We start from the raw sequence: 18,112 nt of genomic DNA on the forward strand, positions 1-18,112 counted from the left end.
TGTAAAGACTTATCCTGAAGAGATTTTCTCAATCCCTGGCCCAGCTTCCACCCATGTTTCTGGAGTAAGCAGTGTCCAATATTATCCTGACAGACAAAACATAGAGACAAACCAAAAATATTCCAATAGTATATTCTTCCCTGCCTAGTGACACTTAAACAGATGATGAGCAAGCGATAATTCTACATATATGCATGCAAAAAGGTGCTAATAATAGCGTAAATGTGTCCAATAAGAGGGACACTAATGTAAAAAGAAAAGCTGGCTAGTATTTTATATGGGAAGAACATATAGGATAAAGGTCCTTTCTGATGGTGTGCTGGGCAACTTTCGTACATAACATTTTAAAATGGAGAAAAAGGGGAAAGGGAAAAGGGGAAGAATACATTTATGAAGTTTTAAAGTAACATTAAAAAGCATAAAATAGGCCAGACGCGGTGGCTCACCCTATAATCTCAGCACCTTGGGAGGCCGAGGTGGGCAGATCACCTGAGGTCAGGAGTTCAAGACCAGCCTGACCAACATGGTGAAACTCTGTCTCTACAAAAATACAAAAATTAACCGAGCATGATGGCAGGTGCCTGTAATCCTAGCTACTCAGGAGGCTGAGGCACAAGAATTGCTGGAACCCCAGAGGCGGAGGTTGCAGTGAGCCGAGATCGTGCCATTGCACTCCAGTTTGGGGACAGAGCAAGACTCCGTCTCAAAAAAAACATAAAATCAAAGTACGTATACAGTCATATCTACCACCTAAACAGCACCACTTTAAGATTCTTTTTTAAAGATAATATACATTGTGTTTAGTTGTTTTATGTGTCAGGCTTTCATGATACAAAGTAAGTTGTAAATGTAAGACTGTCCCACCACTAGAAATGAAAAAAACAATCAGAGCAAAATCCAGGCTAGACTTGATTGGTTTTAGAAAAGTGTGTGTATATATATATATATACATATATATATATACACACACATACATATATATACACACACACATATATATACACACACACATATATAAAATATATATGTATATAATCCCAGCTACTTAGGAGGCTGAGGCAGGAGAATTGCTTGGCCCCAGGGGGCAGAGGTTGCAGTGAGGCAAGATGTCGCCACTGCACTCCAGCCTGGGCGACAAAGCGAGACTCCCTCTCAAAAAATAAATAAATAAATAAATAAAAAGAACCATTAGTGCACGTAGTGGGGAGAAACCAACATACATAATGTCTCATCTTCCCAGGAGCACACTGGAAAAGGTATTCCAATGTAAACTACATGAAAAAAAATGCTAAAAACAATGATTAAATGTCAGCTTTTGTTTAAGGGGTCAAGCTATCAGAAACATCTGCAGCTCTTTGTCCAGTTGTTTGCTTTTTACAGTTATTGTGAAGTACGAAGACAAGGCTAAAATAAGCACTAACCGTATCAGAAAAAATGGTGCTATACATTCAAAGGAAAAGATTGAAAAATTCTAAACACAAGGTATTCTATATGTATTAAAATGTAATTTATAGTATTAATCTAGAAAAGATTAAAAGTCTCAATATAAGTAATGTTACCAGAAAACAAAGGTAAACCATTTGAAAATAATCTCATATTTCCTGAAATCAATTTATAAAGCTGACTAAACCACAAATTTCTGCATTAAAACCAAATATTGCACATTAAATTGTTTGTCTTACATCTCCATATTCAATGATAAAATGTTCTTTGGAGTCATTGAGGAAAGAAAAACATTGTTCTACTGTTATCTTCTCTAACTAGAAGTCAGAAGAAAATTAAGCCTTCCAAATGCTCAGTTGTGTTTTGTTTTTAAAGGACAATTTCCTTCTTAAATTTATAATAGCATACAACCTACAAAACTGGGCTAAGCAGCTGATTATTTCTTTGATGGGGGAAAATCAGGACACTTTTTTTTTTTTTTTTGATACAGGTTATTGCTCTCTTGCCCAGGCTGGTGTACAGTGGTACAATTACAGCTAACTGCAGCCTTGACCTTCCGGGCTCAAGCAATCCTCCCACCTCAGCCTCACGAGTAGCTGGAATTACAGGCACACATGGCCTTGGCTGGCTACTTTTTACATTTTTGTAGAGACAAGGTTTCATTATGTTGCCCAGGATGATCTAGAACTCCTGAGCTCAAGTGATCCTCCCTCCTCAGCCTCCCAAAGTCCTGGGATTACAGGCATTAGCCCCGGATACTTCTTAAAAAACAAAAACTGGAGGCAAACTATAATGAAAAATTGTTTCTAAAACAAAACATATATTGTTTTAAATATACATACATATATATATATATATGGTATCATTATGGTACACAAAAGTTTGCTGCAAGTTATTTTTGCTACATATGAACTGAAAGAATTAGAAACACTACTGATGCCAAGTGCTGACTTCCACATTACTATACATCACGAAAACTTAATATAACACTACTGCTGCTGAGGCTTCTTCCCTTCTCCCCTCCCAAATGAACTGCCAGGAAAAGCATTCCCTTACCCAGTGCTCAGCATCTATTTATAACTTTCTTACCCCCCAAAAAAAAAAGATTAAAAGTCTCAATATAAGTAATGTTTGCAGAAAACAAAGGTAAACAGGCCCTTATTTTACTACTATGAAAACAAACTTACCTGTGCAGAAAATCCTTATTTCATATCATAATTCCTACAACTGAATAATTCTAGAAAGGGCAAGGATAGCAGAATGACTCTAAGAGTATATGGTTGATTATTGTTTAATCTCTCTCTCTCTCTCTTTTTTTTTTTTTTTGAGACTGAGTCTCACTCTATCGCCTAGGCTGGAGTGCAGTAACTCACTGCAACCTCCACCTCCTGGGTTCAAGGGACTCTTGTGCCTCAGCCTCCTGAGTAGCTGGGATTACAGGCGCCCACCACTATGCCCAGCTAATTTTTGTATTTTTAGTAGAGAAGACATTTCACCAAGTTGGCCAGGCTGGTCTCGAACTCCTGACCTCAACTGATCCGCCTGCCTCGGCCTCCCAAAGTGCTGGTATTACAGGTGTGAGCCACCTGCCCGGCCTTGTTTAATCTCTTAATAGACTCATGTTGTAACTATATTTGGCACCAAGATTTAGGTATTAAACAATGCTGACAAAAATTGTTCCTCCCTCCCATTTTGTTGTTGTCATTATTTTTTTTTAAAGGAAACTCAATCTTTGGCTAAGTGGAGATGAGACATTATGCTGACTGTGTTATATTATGAATGCACTAAAATAAACATGCAAATGAAGCAGTACACTATTTCCGAAAGCAGTCCAAGTGGAGTGAGAGCATTTCCATACAAACCTGGCTTTCAAAACTGGGCTGTCAAAAGAACAGTTAAATGTAACACAAAGTGGGCCGGGCGCGGTGGCTGACGCCTGTAATCCCAGCACTTTGGGAGGCCGAGGCAGGCAGATCACGAGGCCAGGAAATCGAGACCATCCTGACTAACACGGTGAAAACCCATCTCTACTAAAAATACAAAAAATTAGCCAGGCGCGGTGGCAGGCGCCTGTAGTCCCAGCTACTCAGGAGGCTGAGGCAGGAGAATGGTGTGAACCCGGGAGGCAGAGCTTGCAGTGAGCCGAGATCACGCCTGGGCGACAGAGCGAGACTCTGTCTCAAAATAAATAAATAAATAAATGTAACACAAAGTAAGAAACTGTCCAATCACAGTTGATTGATGGTCTTTTTTTTAAATCTTGTTTTCAATTCACTGCTTGCAAGTAATGTATGTATTAAAGAAGAGTGAAAGCATAAGTAAATTCACAAGTCAAGGCCAGCTGAGAGATTCAAGAGCAGCGTGTTGTGACTGACAACAGTGAAAGGAAAAGCAAATGTTAAAGGGAGAAGGAGAAAACCGAAAAAATTTAAGTTACACACATTAGCGCCATTTTTACAAAACCACTCAAGAGGATGCTGTCACCTTCTCAGAAAAAAAAATGGTAGTGGCATTTTTCTTCAAAAACTTTAGGTTAAAACTGTTATTTAATTAAATCTACTTTCTCAGGGACTATAATAAAATAGTGAATAGGCCACTCTAAGTCTTTCCAATCATAACAAAGGCAACAGAAACAATAGACACTTCTCCCAGTATCCCCTCCCCTCACCAACCTCCCAGGGCAAGTGAATGACCAACACAGAAAACCTGGAACTTTCCTATCATTTCAAACTACCTGCTTTGGGAGGAAAAGAGGCAGCCCTGTGACTCTGCAGGAAGGGCTAGTATTCAGTCTGGTCCCCTTTCCCACCAATAAAAGAAAAACGGTTCTATAAACACTTGTCAAAGTCCAATAGGCTTAGGGTAAGGTTTTATAAACATTCATCAAAAATCCAATAGGCTTAAGGATGATGGGTAACACAAGGAGGCACATCAAAATAACTTATAACAAAGTAAAAACAAACCAGACTTGTCTATCTCTGAAATGATCAAAACTTTCTCTGTGAAAGAACAAGAAATTCAATAACCAGTCTGTGAGAAACAAGCAATCTATTCTCTCTGTTTAGTACTGTGATTTTTTCAATTATTCCCATGGATGCTTTTTTTTTTTTTTTTTTTTGTGAGATTGAGTCTCACTGTCACCCAGGCTGGAGTGCACTGGCACGATCTCAGCTCACTGCAACTTCTGCCTCCTGGGTAGCTGTGACTAGAGGCACGTGCCATCATGCCTGGCCAATCGTTTTTTGTATTTTTAGTAGAGGAGGGTTTCCCCATGTTGGCCAGGCTGATCTTGAACTCCTGACCTCAAGTGATCCGCCCGCTCAGCCTCCCAGTGTTGGGATTACAGGCCTAAGCCACCGCGCCTGGTCCATGGATGCTACTTTTTAATTTTATTTAATTTTATTTTTTGAGACGGAGTCTTGCTCTGTTGCCCAGGCTGGAGTGCAGTGGTGTGATCTCGGCTCACTGCAACCTCTGCTTCCCTAGTTCAAGCGATTATCCTGCCTCAGCCTCCTGAGACCCTGGGATTACAGGCACGTGCCACCACGCCCAGCTAATTTTTGTATTTTTAGTAGAGACAGGGTTTCACCATGTTGGTCAGGCTGGTCTCAAACTCCTGACCTCATGATCTGCCTGCCTCAGCCTCCCAAAGTGCTGGGATTATATTACAGGCCTGAGCCACCACACCCGGCCCATGGATGCTATTTATAACACTAAGTTGGTACAACTAGCTTATGGCTCAAACATGTAATCTAGACAGAACAAGAGCAATGAATACTAAATTTCTTTCTTACCTTTTCTTTTTTTTTTTTTTGAGACAGGGTCTTGCTCTGTCACCCAGGCTGGGGTGCAGTGGCACAGTCACACAGCTCCTGCATCCTTGACCTGCCGGGCTCCCACGCCCAGCCAATTTATTTCTAAACTAGTAATTATTTTGAAAAATAATTTTTTAAAAAGTAACTCTTTACTTAGTTTCAGTTACTATAATAATGACTAAAAATCTTTTGGCTTTTTTTTAAAAAATATATATAATTTGGGGTTTAATTATAATCTCATAGAACCAAAAATAAATTATAGAAACTTTTTAAAAACTGTCGGCCGGGTGCGGTGGCTCACACCTGTAATCCCAGCACTTTGGGAGGCTGAGGTGGGCGGATCACCTGAGGTCAGGAGTTCGAGACCAGCCTGGCCAACATATAGCAAAACCCCGTCTCTACTAAAAATACAATAATGAGCTGGGCATAGTGGCGCACGCCTGTAGTCCCAGCTACTTGGGAAGCTGAGGCAGGAGAATCACTTGAACCCAGAAGAAAGAGGTTGCAGTGAGCTGAAATCATGCCACTGCACTGTAGCCTGGGTGACAGAGCAGGACTCCGTCTCTCAAAAGACACACACACACACACACACACACACACACACACACACACACACAACTGCGTGGTTTACAACAAACAAGCATGATACAAGTAGGCTGCTTATAATTTTTTTTTCTTCTCAAGAGTTAACTTGATATAATTTAAATGGACATGGAAGAATTGCAAAGGAATCCTAACTTTTAATTAATAAGGCAACTGAATTTTGACAAAGGGTAATAAGCAAAAAGCTGGTTTTCTACATAATTCAGAGTTCTCACAAACCACCTATTTGTTTTCTCTCTCTGCTCAAGACCCCAAAATGGTGGCTGTGTGGCCTGTTCTTTGGTTGGAAATTAAGTTCTTCTAATTGGGAGGCTGAGGCACGAGAATCGCTTGAACCTGGGAGGTGGAGGTTGCGGTGAGCTGAGATCGCACCACTGCACTCCAGCCTGGGCAATCGTTTGAGACTCTGGCTCAAGAAAAAAAAAAAAGTTAAAAAAAAAAGAAGAACACTTAAAATTTTACTCCCAAATGATCAGGCAACAGAAATAAGATTCCTCTTATCTTGTGTGTACTACTTCTTTTTCTCGTCTTACATATTTGTTTATTCTCCCATATCCTGTGTCCTACTTCTATCTAACACAATGTAGGCTACGAAGCTCCTCCTCCTCCTCCCTAAACTACCACATCACAAATAATACATATATTTATGTATTTCGGAAGTAAATTTTCATTAGAAGTATAATTATTAATATACATTTCTGAACATGCATTTATTTATTTAAAAAAATTAAATATCCAGCCTGAGTACTATGTACTATTTGCTATTTTAAGTAAAGAAGGTAGCACTATTTAATAAATAAGGCATATATCAATTCTACTCCTATTCATTGAGATTATTCAACAATGATTACTCAATTAGACTGCCTCTGATAGTGTTCTCCCTATGATGTGTGCTAGAAAAAATCCTGGACATTGTGAGAGGTAAAATAGCATCAGTCTCATGTGCCACAGGAATAAATTTTCCAAAAATCTTTTAAGACTTCAGCCTCCAAGAAGGCTTAAAAATGTTAAATATCATTTAATTTAGTGGTTTAAAAAAAATCTTTGTTGTGTGTAGTAATGATGAATACTAGGTTGCAAATTTCATTTAATTAAATTTCCTGCTACTGTTGAGTACCCACAGAATTATAGCTTGTGTAAGGATATTAACCAACCATGCACCTTGTAGAATATGGTACTGGGAGGTTGATTCTGATAGCTCTGATCTGAAACTTTGACCCCCCCCACCCCGAGTTTTAAAATTAAAATGGAAAAATTATTTTTCAAATACAAGATACTGATCTAGCCTACAGATTTCATTATTGTGATAATCCCCAAAATAATACAGAACAAGACACAAACCAGTGATTTTTAGCTTAGCAAAGTGAGCTTGGCATTTTATCCTTATGTCAAAACACAAGACTAGGCTTTCAGTGAAACAGCAGATGAGAATTCTCCCTCTGCAGTATTATCACATGCACCATCAATTACTGCCATGCCTAAGTCTAGCATCATGCCAGCACATTAAGATAGAAGGTACTCTATGCAGTTTTCACTGGACCAGAAGGACAGAAATAAGAAAGGGAGGTGGAGTCCAGGCGTGGTGGCTCATGCCTGTAATCCTGGCACTTTGGGAGGCCCAGGCAGGGGGATCACCCAAGGTCAAGAGTTCGAGACCAGCCTGGCCAACATGGTGAAACCTCATCTCTGTTAAAAATACAAAAATTAGCCGGGGCATGGTGGTGGGTGCCTGTAATCCCAGCTACTCAGGAGGCTGAGGCAGGAGAATCGCTTGAACCCAGGAGGCAGAGGTTGCAGTGAGCCAAGATTGCACCACTGGGTGACAGAGCAAAAGCTGTCTCAAAAACAACAACAACAACAACAACAACAACAACAACAAAAACGGGCGGGGAGCGAGGGAGATGGAGAGAAAGAAGAGAAGAAATTTTAAAAAGGCAGACTGTGCAAAACAAACCAGATCATGGCTGCTTAGCTAATATGGGCCAACTGCTATGGAAGAAAAATGTTGTACACCCCAAGTTGTGTAAGTTTCTATAAACATCTAAACACACACACAAACACACAAAACACCAACCTAATTAGGAACATTAATATATGTTGATCCTTTACTATGTTACAGTTTTGAAAATAAAAGCTAAAGTTAAACTATCTGCACTCTCTAAATTGCCTTATTTTCCTAAGAAGCTAGTGTTTCTTAAGAGGAAGAGGGCTTGTCATGATGGTTATAATGATTAAGATTCCCTCTTTGACCTTTTTTCCCCACTCAAGTTTTACCAATAACTCACTGAAACCCTTATTAAATATGTGCACTTAAGCACAAACAGTAAATGCCAATGATAATGACAATTTCATTTTAACAATGGATGTGTTATTTAAAAATAATGTTTTTCAAAATAAAAATAATGTTAAAAAATTTAGACTTTTTTTTTTTGAGATAGAGTTTCATTCTTGTTGCCCACGTTGGAGTGCAATGGTGTGGTGTCAGCTCACTGCAACCTCCAGCTCCTGGTTTCAAGGGATTCTCCTGCCTCGGCCTCCCAAGTAGCTGGGATTACAGGCGCCCGCCACCATGCTCGGTTAATTTTTTTGTATTTTTAGTAGAGACGGGGTTTCACCATGTTGGCCAGGTTGGTCTTGAACTCGTAACCTCAAGTGATCCACCCACCTCAGCCTCCCAAAGTGTTGGGATTACAGGTGTAAGCTACAGAACCCAGTCAAAGTTTTTTTTTGTTTTGTTTTTAAACTAAGAGCCAGGTAAATAAATCTCCTTGTTCTATTGCTTGATATCATCAGTGTCTAAAACTAAGCAGTGTGAAAAGATAGAAATAATCAACTTTTGACAAAAACTAGACATTTCTTAAGCCACAGAGCCCAAACTTGCCATGTTTCACAAGAGTCTGATAAATAAAACTTATTACTCCTTAACTGTTTCTTCTCTTTTTTTCTTTCTTTTTTTTTCTTTTGAGAGGGAGATTCATTCTGTTGCTCAGGCTGGAGTGCAGTGGAACAATTTCGACTAACTGCAACCTCCACCTCCTGGGTTCAAGCAATTCTCGTTCCTCAGCTTCCAGAGTAGCTAGGATTACAGGGGTGTGCCACCACGCCCAGCTAATTTTTATATTTTTGTAGAGATGGGGTTCACCACGTTGGCCAGGCTGCTCTCAAATTCCCGACCTCAGGTGATCCGCCCACCTCGACCCCCCAAAGTGCTGCAATACAGGCATGAGCCACTGCACCCAGCCCTTAACTGTTTCTAATGGAACTTAAAATTTTTTTTTCCATATTCTACTTATGTAGGAACATTTCATACATAATTATGTTGCTCAGGAAAGGTGAATCTATAAAGGATCAAAATACATTTTACTCCTTTATTCAATTCACAAAATGCTAAACTTTAACTTGTTACCTTCAACAAAATATTAGTATGGGCCAAAAAGATGTTTTTCCCCCATCAAAATTCTAATGTGTTTTTAGATTGTTTTGGACCGATTTCCCAACATATTAAATATTAGATTACATCCCAAACTCTATCTGGTTACTGTATGGCATGGAAGAAAACAACTCTAAACTGTATTGGTTATTAATAAGTTTAACTTCATTCACATTAAGTGTCACACAAACACTACCTACCTAACTGGCTAAGACCCGAAATTAAGCAATGATCCATCTTATGGATTCTGTAGGCTTGTCAAGTGATGCTTGTTCAGTTTCCAAGTGTCCTTCGTCATGTTGATCAAAGTGATTACCCTGAAAAAAGGATGATCACAGCTATTTTTCAAGAGCAATAAATGTCAAATTTATTAACAGCCTAACCAAACTAAGAGTTATTTTTAAGTTTGTTTTTTTGTTGTTGTTGTTTTTTTTTTTTTTTACCTAAAAGGAGACTGCAATCATTCTTTTTCAGTAGACAATCAAAACCACACCACAAATTCCAACTTTAAAAAATTTATAAAAACGTATTAGGGCTGGGCACAGTGGCTCACGCCTGTAATCCCAGCACTTTGGGAGGCCGAGGCAGGAAGATCACTCGAACCCAAGAGTTCAAAACCAGCCTGGGCAACACAGTGAAAACCTGTTTCTGGAAAAAAAAAATTAATTAGCCACACATGGTGGTGTGAGCCTGTAGCCCCAGCTATTCAGGAGGCTGAGGTGGGAGGATCACTTGAACCCAGGAGGTCGAGGCTGCAGTGAGCTGTCATCAAGCCACTGCACTCCAAGCCTGGGTGACAGAACGAGACCCTATTTCAAACAAAACAAAACACAATTTATTAGGAATCTAGGCCCAGTAATCTGAACTTTTCTTCTAACAAATGTTGAAATTGTAAACTAAAACACTATCAACCATTTGGGACACCAATTGTCTTAGACTGACTACATTAGGAAGACTATGGACTCTTATGAGCTGCGGCAGAGCGCGACCCGTTCCCCCAGGGCCCTCCAAGCTCCTCCTGCCCGGGCCGGCAGGTGAGCTGGAGGCTCCGGGACAGGCGGCGCCCTCCGCCCTGCACACACCTAGGGCCCTGCTGTGACTGCCCCCTGGCCAGACCCAGGCCTTGAAGCGTCCCCACCCCATCTCGGTGACTGACGGCGGCATCGGCCTCTCTCAGCCGGGACCCCGCCCGGCCGCTGGATCTCCTGGCCCAAGCCTGCCGGGCCTCGACGAAACTCCACCAAGCCGCCGGCACGCAGCGCCTTTGGGTGGCAGCGGGAGTGGCGGGCCGGGAAGCCTGGCGGCCGCCCGAACACCACCCAACGGAGGACCTGAGGGTGCAGAGGTCCCGGGAAGGCGGCCTCGGGACGCAGGCAGGCTCGGCTGCCTGGTTAGGCCTCGGAGCCGCGCAAACCCGGTCCCCGTGACCGCTCTGTCCCCATTGGCTGAGACCACCTAGTCCTGACCTCAACGGACAAAGGCCTTAACTGGCCTAGAAGGAGAACGGAGTTCCGAACGACGACCGGTAGAACAGTTAGCGGCCATCGGGCGGTTGGTCTTAGTGCTACTAGACCTTGCTGCTGGAAGAGAGAAATAGTAGAATGACAGGCCATGTTTGGCCCGTTGGAAATGCCCACCACCCTTTGGGAAGATTTACTGGCCGTTTATAGAAGGCCTGTGTATATAATATGAAAAAGCTTCTCTCAACTCCACCCCAACCTTTTAATAGAAAATATTTGCCATATTTAGCCCTTCTATAGATGGAAAAAGCCACGCTGTTTTACTTTTATAAGCAATATTGCATTAAATTTTTAATAATGAAGAAAATCCTTCCTGGGTCGAGTGGGGACTTAGAGAACTTTTCTGTCTTACAAGAGGTTTGTAAAATGCACTCCCAGGCTTTTCAAGAAATTAAAAACAATCTCTTGACAGTTTCCAAAGCAACTATTCATCAAGATGATCTGCCTAGAGAGATAAACATACCCATATAATACTGTATTTGATCATAAGCAAGTTGTCACTGCAACTAAAATAAGTAAAAACAGTTTCAACAAATGATAGTTGCAGACAACTAAGAAGTTCTCTCTAATCATAGTTTTCACAGATCTCCCTGCTTCATTAGGAAGGAATAGCTCATAATTTGGTTCTAAATCAAAATGTCAATTTTCTGGTTCCCTTCTTGCAATACAGTATAGGGCATGAGGATTTGTGAGTCCCACAATGACCTAAGTCAAAAGACTAAAGACTTCAGTCTTTTGGTCTAGCCTAAATGAATTCAGTGTGTGGAATGATACGATAACCGGAATATTAACAAAAAGTTACTTTGCTTTCTCAAGGTAAAATTAAAATTCTAATTGAGGAATTGCACATGTACCCCAGAACTTAAAGTATAATAAAAAAAAAAAGGAAAAAAACTGGACTTCCCTGGGGAAAAATCCATTTGATGATGTGGCTTCATCGAGTATTCCTTTGTGAATTCCTGGATGAAATTTTCAAGGCAAACAGGAAAAGCACTGAAATTGCTGAATGGGTGAGCATTGTATGCCTGATTCATTAAATATATGCATTGGTAAATATATAAAAAAATTCTAATTGAATAAATAAAATTCAGTGATGGGGAACTCTAGCATGTAATTTGCCACATTGTATCATAAATGTTAAGTTTCTCTCACTAGACTCTGAAGTCCTCGAGGACAAGAACTAAGTCTTGTTTATCCTTTACAAACCTAATACTTAATATGGCAGCCAAACACTAGGGAACAATTAGGTGCTAACATTAAGTGGCAATGATGAACAAGTTCTAGAACAAGATGGTGGTGGTGATGGTCATACAATATTGTTAATGTACTTAATGCCACTAAACTATATACTTTTGCTTTAAGAGAAGGGGGTCTCGCTATGTTGCCCAGGCTGTCTTCAAACTCCTGGGCTCAAGGATCCCAGGCTCAGCCTCCTGACTAGCCGGAACTACGGGCTCCACTACACGTGGCTTGAATTATATACTTTAAAACAGTTAAAGTGATAAATTTTATTACGTGTATTTTACCACATAAAAATAATAAAAATAAAATTGTATGGCAAAGTCTATCCAAATGAAGAAAGGGGGAAAAAAGGAGAAAAATGGAATAGCAAGGGACAGGAGTATGTTTTCCAAAGACCAAAAAAAAATAAAAATTAAAAATAAAAAAATAAAAAAGGACTTATGAGTAGTTATTTCAGGAATAAGAAAAAGCACTCATCAACAAATGATTTTTAAAAAATTTAAAATAGCTATTAATCCTGAAAGTCTGTCTTAAATTAACCTCAATATTTTGTCCAATGATTTTTTTTAAATAACACCTGCTTCTTGGCATTTTAATTTCTACTACATTTAAAATTTTAAGTTAATTTAAAGGTGTTAATTGCAAAGTACTTCTAAATTACTAAATAATAAATATTCAAATACTGAGATTAGCTCAAACCTTATTATATTATAGAACACCAATGTACAGCCGAATATCAATTCTTTCACTCTACAGGTCTATACAATTTAATGATAAAAGAATAGACGAGGCACAGTGGCTCACGCCTGTAATTCTAGCACTTTGGGAGGCCGAAGTGGGAGCATTCATTGCTGGAGGCCAGGAAGTTGGACTTCAGCTTGGGCAACATAGCGAGACCTTGTCTCTACAAAAAAATTAGCTGGGTGTGGTGGCATGTGCCTGTATTCCTAGTCCTATAGTCCTAGCTACTCGGGAGGCTGAGGCTCCTGCCTCACTTCAGCCCAGGGGTTCAAGACTGCAGTGAGCTGATGAAGCCACTGCACTCAGGCCTAGGTGGCAAACCAAGAGTCTGTCAAAAAAAAAAATCCATCCTAAAAACAATAATTGTGTACTACTTTTTAAAAAGTAATTAAACCTTTAGTTTGTTTAGAGACAGAGTCTCTCTCTGCTACCCAGGCTGGAGTGCAGTGGGGCCATCATAGCTTACTGTAACCTTGAACTCCTGGGCTCAAGCAATCCTTCCACCTCAGCTAGGACAACAGGAATGTACCACCATGCCTGGATATGTTCTTGATTTTTTTTTTTTTTTTTTTTTGAGATGGAGTCTTGCTCCATCACCCAGGCTGGAGTGCAGTGGCGCGATCTCGGCTCACTGCATCCTCCACCAACTGGGTTCAAGCAACTCTCCTGCCTCAGCCTCCTGAGTAACTGGGATCACAGGCATGCGCCACCACAGCCAACTACTTTTTTTTCTTTTCTCTTTTTTTTTTTTTTTTTTTTTGGCCAGGCTTGTCTCAAACTCTTGATCTCAGGTGATCCGCCCACCTCAGCCTCACAGAGTGCTGGGATTACAGGCCTGAGCCACCGCACCCGACCTGTTTTTGATTTTTGTAGAGCGGTCTCACTCTGTTGCCCAGATGGTCTCAAACTCCTGGGCTCAAGTGATCCTCCTGCCTCTGCCTCTCAAAATTCTGGGATTACAGATATAAGCCATCAAGTCTGGCCTAGAATATTTAACTTAGGACAACTACGTGATGGTTTTTAAACAAAAAGAGAACTGCCCCCAAATGTATCACTATCAAAGATGATATAAAGCACAAACAGATTATTAGAGAACTACCAAGTAATTCTACAAAAAAGAAAATGGGCATCTTCTAGGAAAAACCATTTCAGCTCATCCCTACTGCATGAAAAATCACACAAGTTTTTCCAAACAGATAATGAGTCATTAGCAAAATCTTCTTTTAATCTTAGGCTTAAAGTTATTTTAGAAAACCCTTCTGTAGATTACAAACTACTGTCAGCAAATGCCAGGTTCCAAATAAGACACTTAACAAACTTCTAAATTTGTTAGCTAATTAACTTTTCAAATCATTCTGGATCTGTCAGATGCAATACAAATCAGGATTAATAATATAGTTTTAGAGTTTTAGTCCAAAAAAAGACCCACACATCTATGATTAATCTTCAACAAAAGTACAAAGAGAATTCAACAGAGAAATGATAGTGTTTTCAATAAACGACACTAGAACTCGGTGTCCATATGCAAAACAAAAAAAGAGCCTCAATCCATACTTTGAATCATAATAAAAAATTAACTTAAAATGCGCTACAGACCTAAATGTAAAACTGAAAATGAAATATTCTAAAAGAAAAATACAGAAGAAAATCTTTGCGACCACAGGCTAGACAAATATTTTCTTAGAGACAGCCCAAAAGCACAATATATGAAATAAAAAATTCATAAGCTGGACTAGGAGAAAATATTTACAAAGCTTATTCCTTTAAAAAAAAATGTGTTGATTCCTGGCTAACACAGTAAAACCCCGTCTCTACTAAAAATACAAAAAATTAGCCGGGCGTGGTTGCAGGTGCCTGTAGTCCCAGCTACTCGGGAGGCTGAGGCAGGAGAATGGCCTGAACCCGGGAGACGGAGCTTGCAGTGAGCCTAGATTGCACCACTGCACTCCAGCCTGGGCGACAGAGCTAGACTCCATCTCAAAAAAAAAAAAAAAAAGTGTTGATTTAGAGTAACTAAGGCTCACCCAGGCTACAAGGCAGTGGCACAATCACAGCTCACTGCAGCTTCTACTTCCTGGGCTCAATTATTCTTCTGACTCAGCCTCCCAGGTAGCTGTGGGACTACAGGTGTGCACTAGCACATCTGGCTAATTTTTGTTCTTTTTGGTGTGTGCGTGTGTGGCTTTTTTTTGGGGGGGGGGGTGGGGTAGAAACAGGGTTTTGCCATGTTGCCTATGTAAATGAAATGAGAAGAGGCTGGTTCATACAAGACAATTTTTATTTTATTCAAGTTAACCACGGTAAAGACTGAGTTCTTTCACATCCTTGCTCTTGTCCACTCCTCTCTCTCCATTTTTTCCATTTCTTTTCTTTTCTTTTTTCTTTTTTTTTTTTTAACAGCGTGTGTTACCCAGGCTGTTTTCAAACTCTTGGGCCCAAGCAGTCCTGGTGCCTCAGCCTCCAGAGTAGCTGGGATTACAGGCCCACAGTCTTTTAAAGGTAATTAGCACTGTTAAAATTATGCCCATTAAGGACATTTTTTTGTAAGATGCTTTTCTTGAGACATTTTTGTTAGACTGAACACACAGGCAGAACTTAAAAAAAAATTTTTTTTTGTAAGAACTTTAATCTTACCTCTAGATACATTATCTAGTCTGACAGCCTGGTCACAGGTGAGGAAAGGTTGTGCTAGCAATGTCTTTAATTTTTTAGTACATTGTGGCCCCTTTTATTAAAATATACTATTAAACACAAATAATACAAATGTAAAACAGATGTTGTTAAAAGTTCACGCTACACTGTAACAAGTAAAAACTGAAAGAAAGCCCTCCTTTCTCCTCTGTTTCATTTCTTAGAGGTAACCATTGTTTTCAATTTGTTACCAGTTTTTTAGTAAAGTTTTAAAATTTTAAAATACACATGCTGTTTGGAAGATGTGCTTCAGAAATATTGCATATGAGTTTATTGTAATTATTAACTTTTGTTTTGTTTACTTTTATATAAATAGACTTTATTTTTTTCAAGTAGCTTTAGGTTCACAGCAAATTTGAGCTGAAAGTAAAGACATGGCCTCCTACACATTTGTTATAATACATTTGTTACAATAGATGAAAGGTCCACTTCTGGTGTAGTTCTATGCATTTTGGAAAATGTATAGTGACATTTATCTATCATTATAGTATCATAGAGAATAATTTCACTGCTCAAAAAATCCCCAGTGTCACCTGTTCATCCCTTTACTTTCTTCCCTTCAAATTCCTGGCAAGTACTGATCTTTTTACTGTTTCCGTAGTTTTGCCTTTTCTAGGATGCCATATATTTCCAATCGTTATGTAGCCTTTTCAGATTGGCTTCTTTCACATACTGCTGAATATGTATCCAAGATTCCTCCATGTCTCTCCTGGCTTGATAGCTCATTTCTTTTTAGCCATAAATAATACTCCACTGTCTGGCATATCACAGTTTGCTTATCTATTCACCTACCAAAGGACACCTGAATTGCTGCCAAGTTTTGGCAATTATGAATAAAGAATGCTATAAATATTGGTGTTTTGGTTTTTGGGTAGACATAAATTTTCAGCTCCTTTAGTTAAATACTAAGGAGTGTGATTGCTGGATTGAACGGTAAAAATAGGTTTAACTTCGTAAGAAACTGCCAAAGTGTCTTGTCTTCCCTTTGACAGTGTCTTTTGCAGAGTAGAAGTTTTAAATTTTAATAAAGTCTAACTTACCAATTCCTTCTTTCATGGGTGTGCCTTTGGTTTTCCAATTAAAAAGTCATCACTAACCCCAGTGACACCTAGTATTTTGTTTGCTTTTACTTGGTGTTCGTGTCATTGTGATGAGACTACATTTATTTTAGCAGTAGGAGGAAAAAGTTTTGTGCTTCACTACCAGGGATTACTATGATTGTTGTGATACTGTGATTGTTTACTTTTGTGGGAGTTGATGGTGTTTATGTTTTTGCATTAACGTTAAAGAAATCAATTAGCCTTTTTAATAGGGTAACTTTAATTCAGCTTAAATCTGCAAATTTGTGGGATTTTAGACCAAGAAATGGCCTGAAAGAGTGTCTAGTTCAAGTTCATTTTACAAATGAAGGTACAAAGAATGAGGAATATGACATGATTTGCATGAGGTCATACAGTGAATTATTAATGAAGACAGGACTTAGAATTGCTGATAACCATTTTAAAGAACTGAAAGATGTATTGATAATTTTTCTTGTATAATAAATAATTTTGATGATGTGTTTATTTCTTATTCTTTTTGACTTGGTGTTGTGGCTCCTAATTTTTAAAAGGGTAAGTTTTAAAACAGTGAAAAATATAAACAGTTTTTATACTTTTCAAGGAATCTACGATCTAGTGGGAAATATGTCCAGAGACATGGGCTCCAATCAGTGTTGCTCAGTGGAAAGGGACAAACTTTCGGAAACAGGTTCAGAGGATGTAACAGTGCCACCAAATAGAGGCAATTGGGGGCGGGGGTAGGGTGGCCTTCAGCCAAATAGTAAAATACATAGAGATGGGGGAGGTAAGCAGGGGTGGGGTGAGAAGGGTGGGTGCATTTTAAGTAGACAGAAAAGTGAAGCAAAAGTTGAGAGGTGAAGAAAGAGCTTTGTACAGTTGCTGCCAAAGAGGCAAGTGGCCAATTTGGCATGGCCTGCTCCAAGTACCTTTCAGCTGGGGTTACAATGCTAGAATTCGCTTTCTGCCATCATTGGGTCCACTGTTAGGCTAATGGTGTTTGTCTTGTCACAATATAAATACTTTTTTAAAGGCACTAAACATTGTTCTCATAAGGACAGGGTCATTCTTTCCACACTGTTGTCTTCCTCAGTTGACCTCTCTTAGAGCCATTTGCATTCTAAGACTTATCTGACCTCATCAAATTAAGAGCTATGGTCCCCTACTAAAGAAATTTCAAACAGCTGGACAGAATGTTTTTGGACAGAGGAACCATCCACTGAAAGTGCTTGGCCTTGAAAATCTTTATAGGTAACAAATTTGGCTAGGTGACATTTGGGGTTTTTTGTTTTGAGGCAGGGTCTCACTCTGTTACCCAGGCAGGAGTGTAGTAGTGTGATCACTCCTGGGTTCAAACCATCCTCCCACCTCAGCCTCTTGAGTAGCTGGGACTATAGGTGCGTACCACCACATCGGCTAATTTTTGTTATAGAAATGGGGGTCTCACTATGTTGCCAGGGCTGGATGAGATGTTTTCTGAGAAACTGTCACATTGACACCTGTACTTACCACATTTCCTGGACAAATCCTAGCCCACACTCCTCCGGCCCCATTGCCCTCCAGCAAGCA

At 39.7% G+C, this 18,112-nt stretch overlaps 1 pseudogene across 1 annotated transcript in view; it reads right to left on the reverse strand.

The window, feature by feature from the left end:
- Positions 1-10,780, reverse strand: part of KRT18P55 (keratin 18 pseudogene 55) — a 31,397-nt pseudogene extending 20,617 nt beyond the window's left edge. The window contains exons 1-2 of the transcript NR_028334.1: positions 10,374-10,780; positions 9,492-9,608 (exon numbers count right to left, since the gene is read on the reverse strand). The product of NR_028334.1 is annotated as a keratin 18 pseudogene 55 (transcript). The remainder of the gene's footprint in view (positions 1-9,491; positions 9,609-10,373) is intronic.
- Positions 10,781-18,112: the final 7,332 nt, after the last annotated feature.

Source organism: Homo sapiens, chromosome 17 (genome assembly GCF_000001405.40).
Source record: "Homo sapiens chromosome 17, GRCh38.p14 Primary Assembly".
Taxonomy (NCBI): domain Eukaryota; kingdom Metazoa; phylum Chordata; class Mammalia; order Primates; family Hominidae; genus Homo; species Homo sapiens.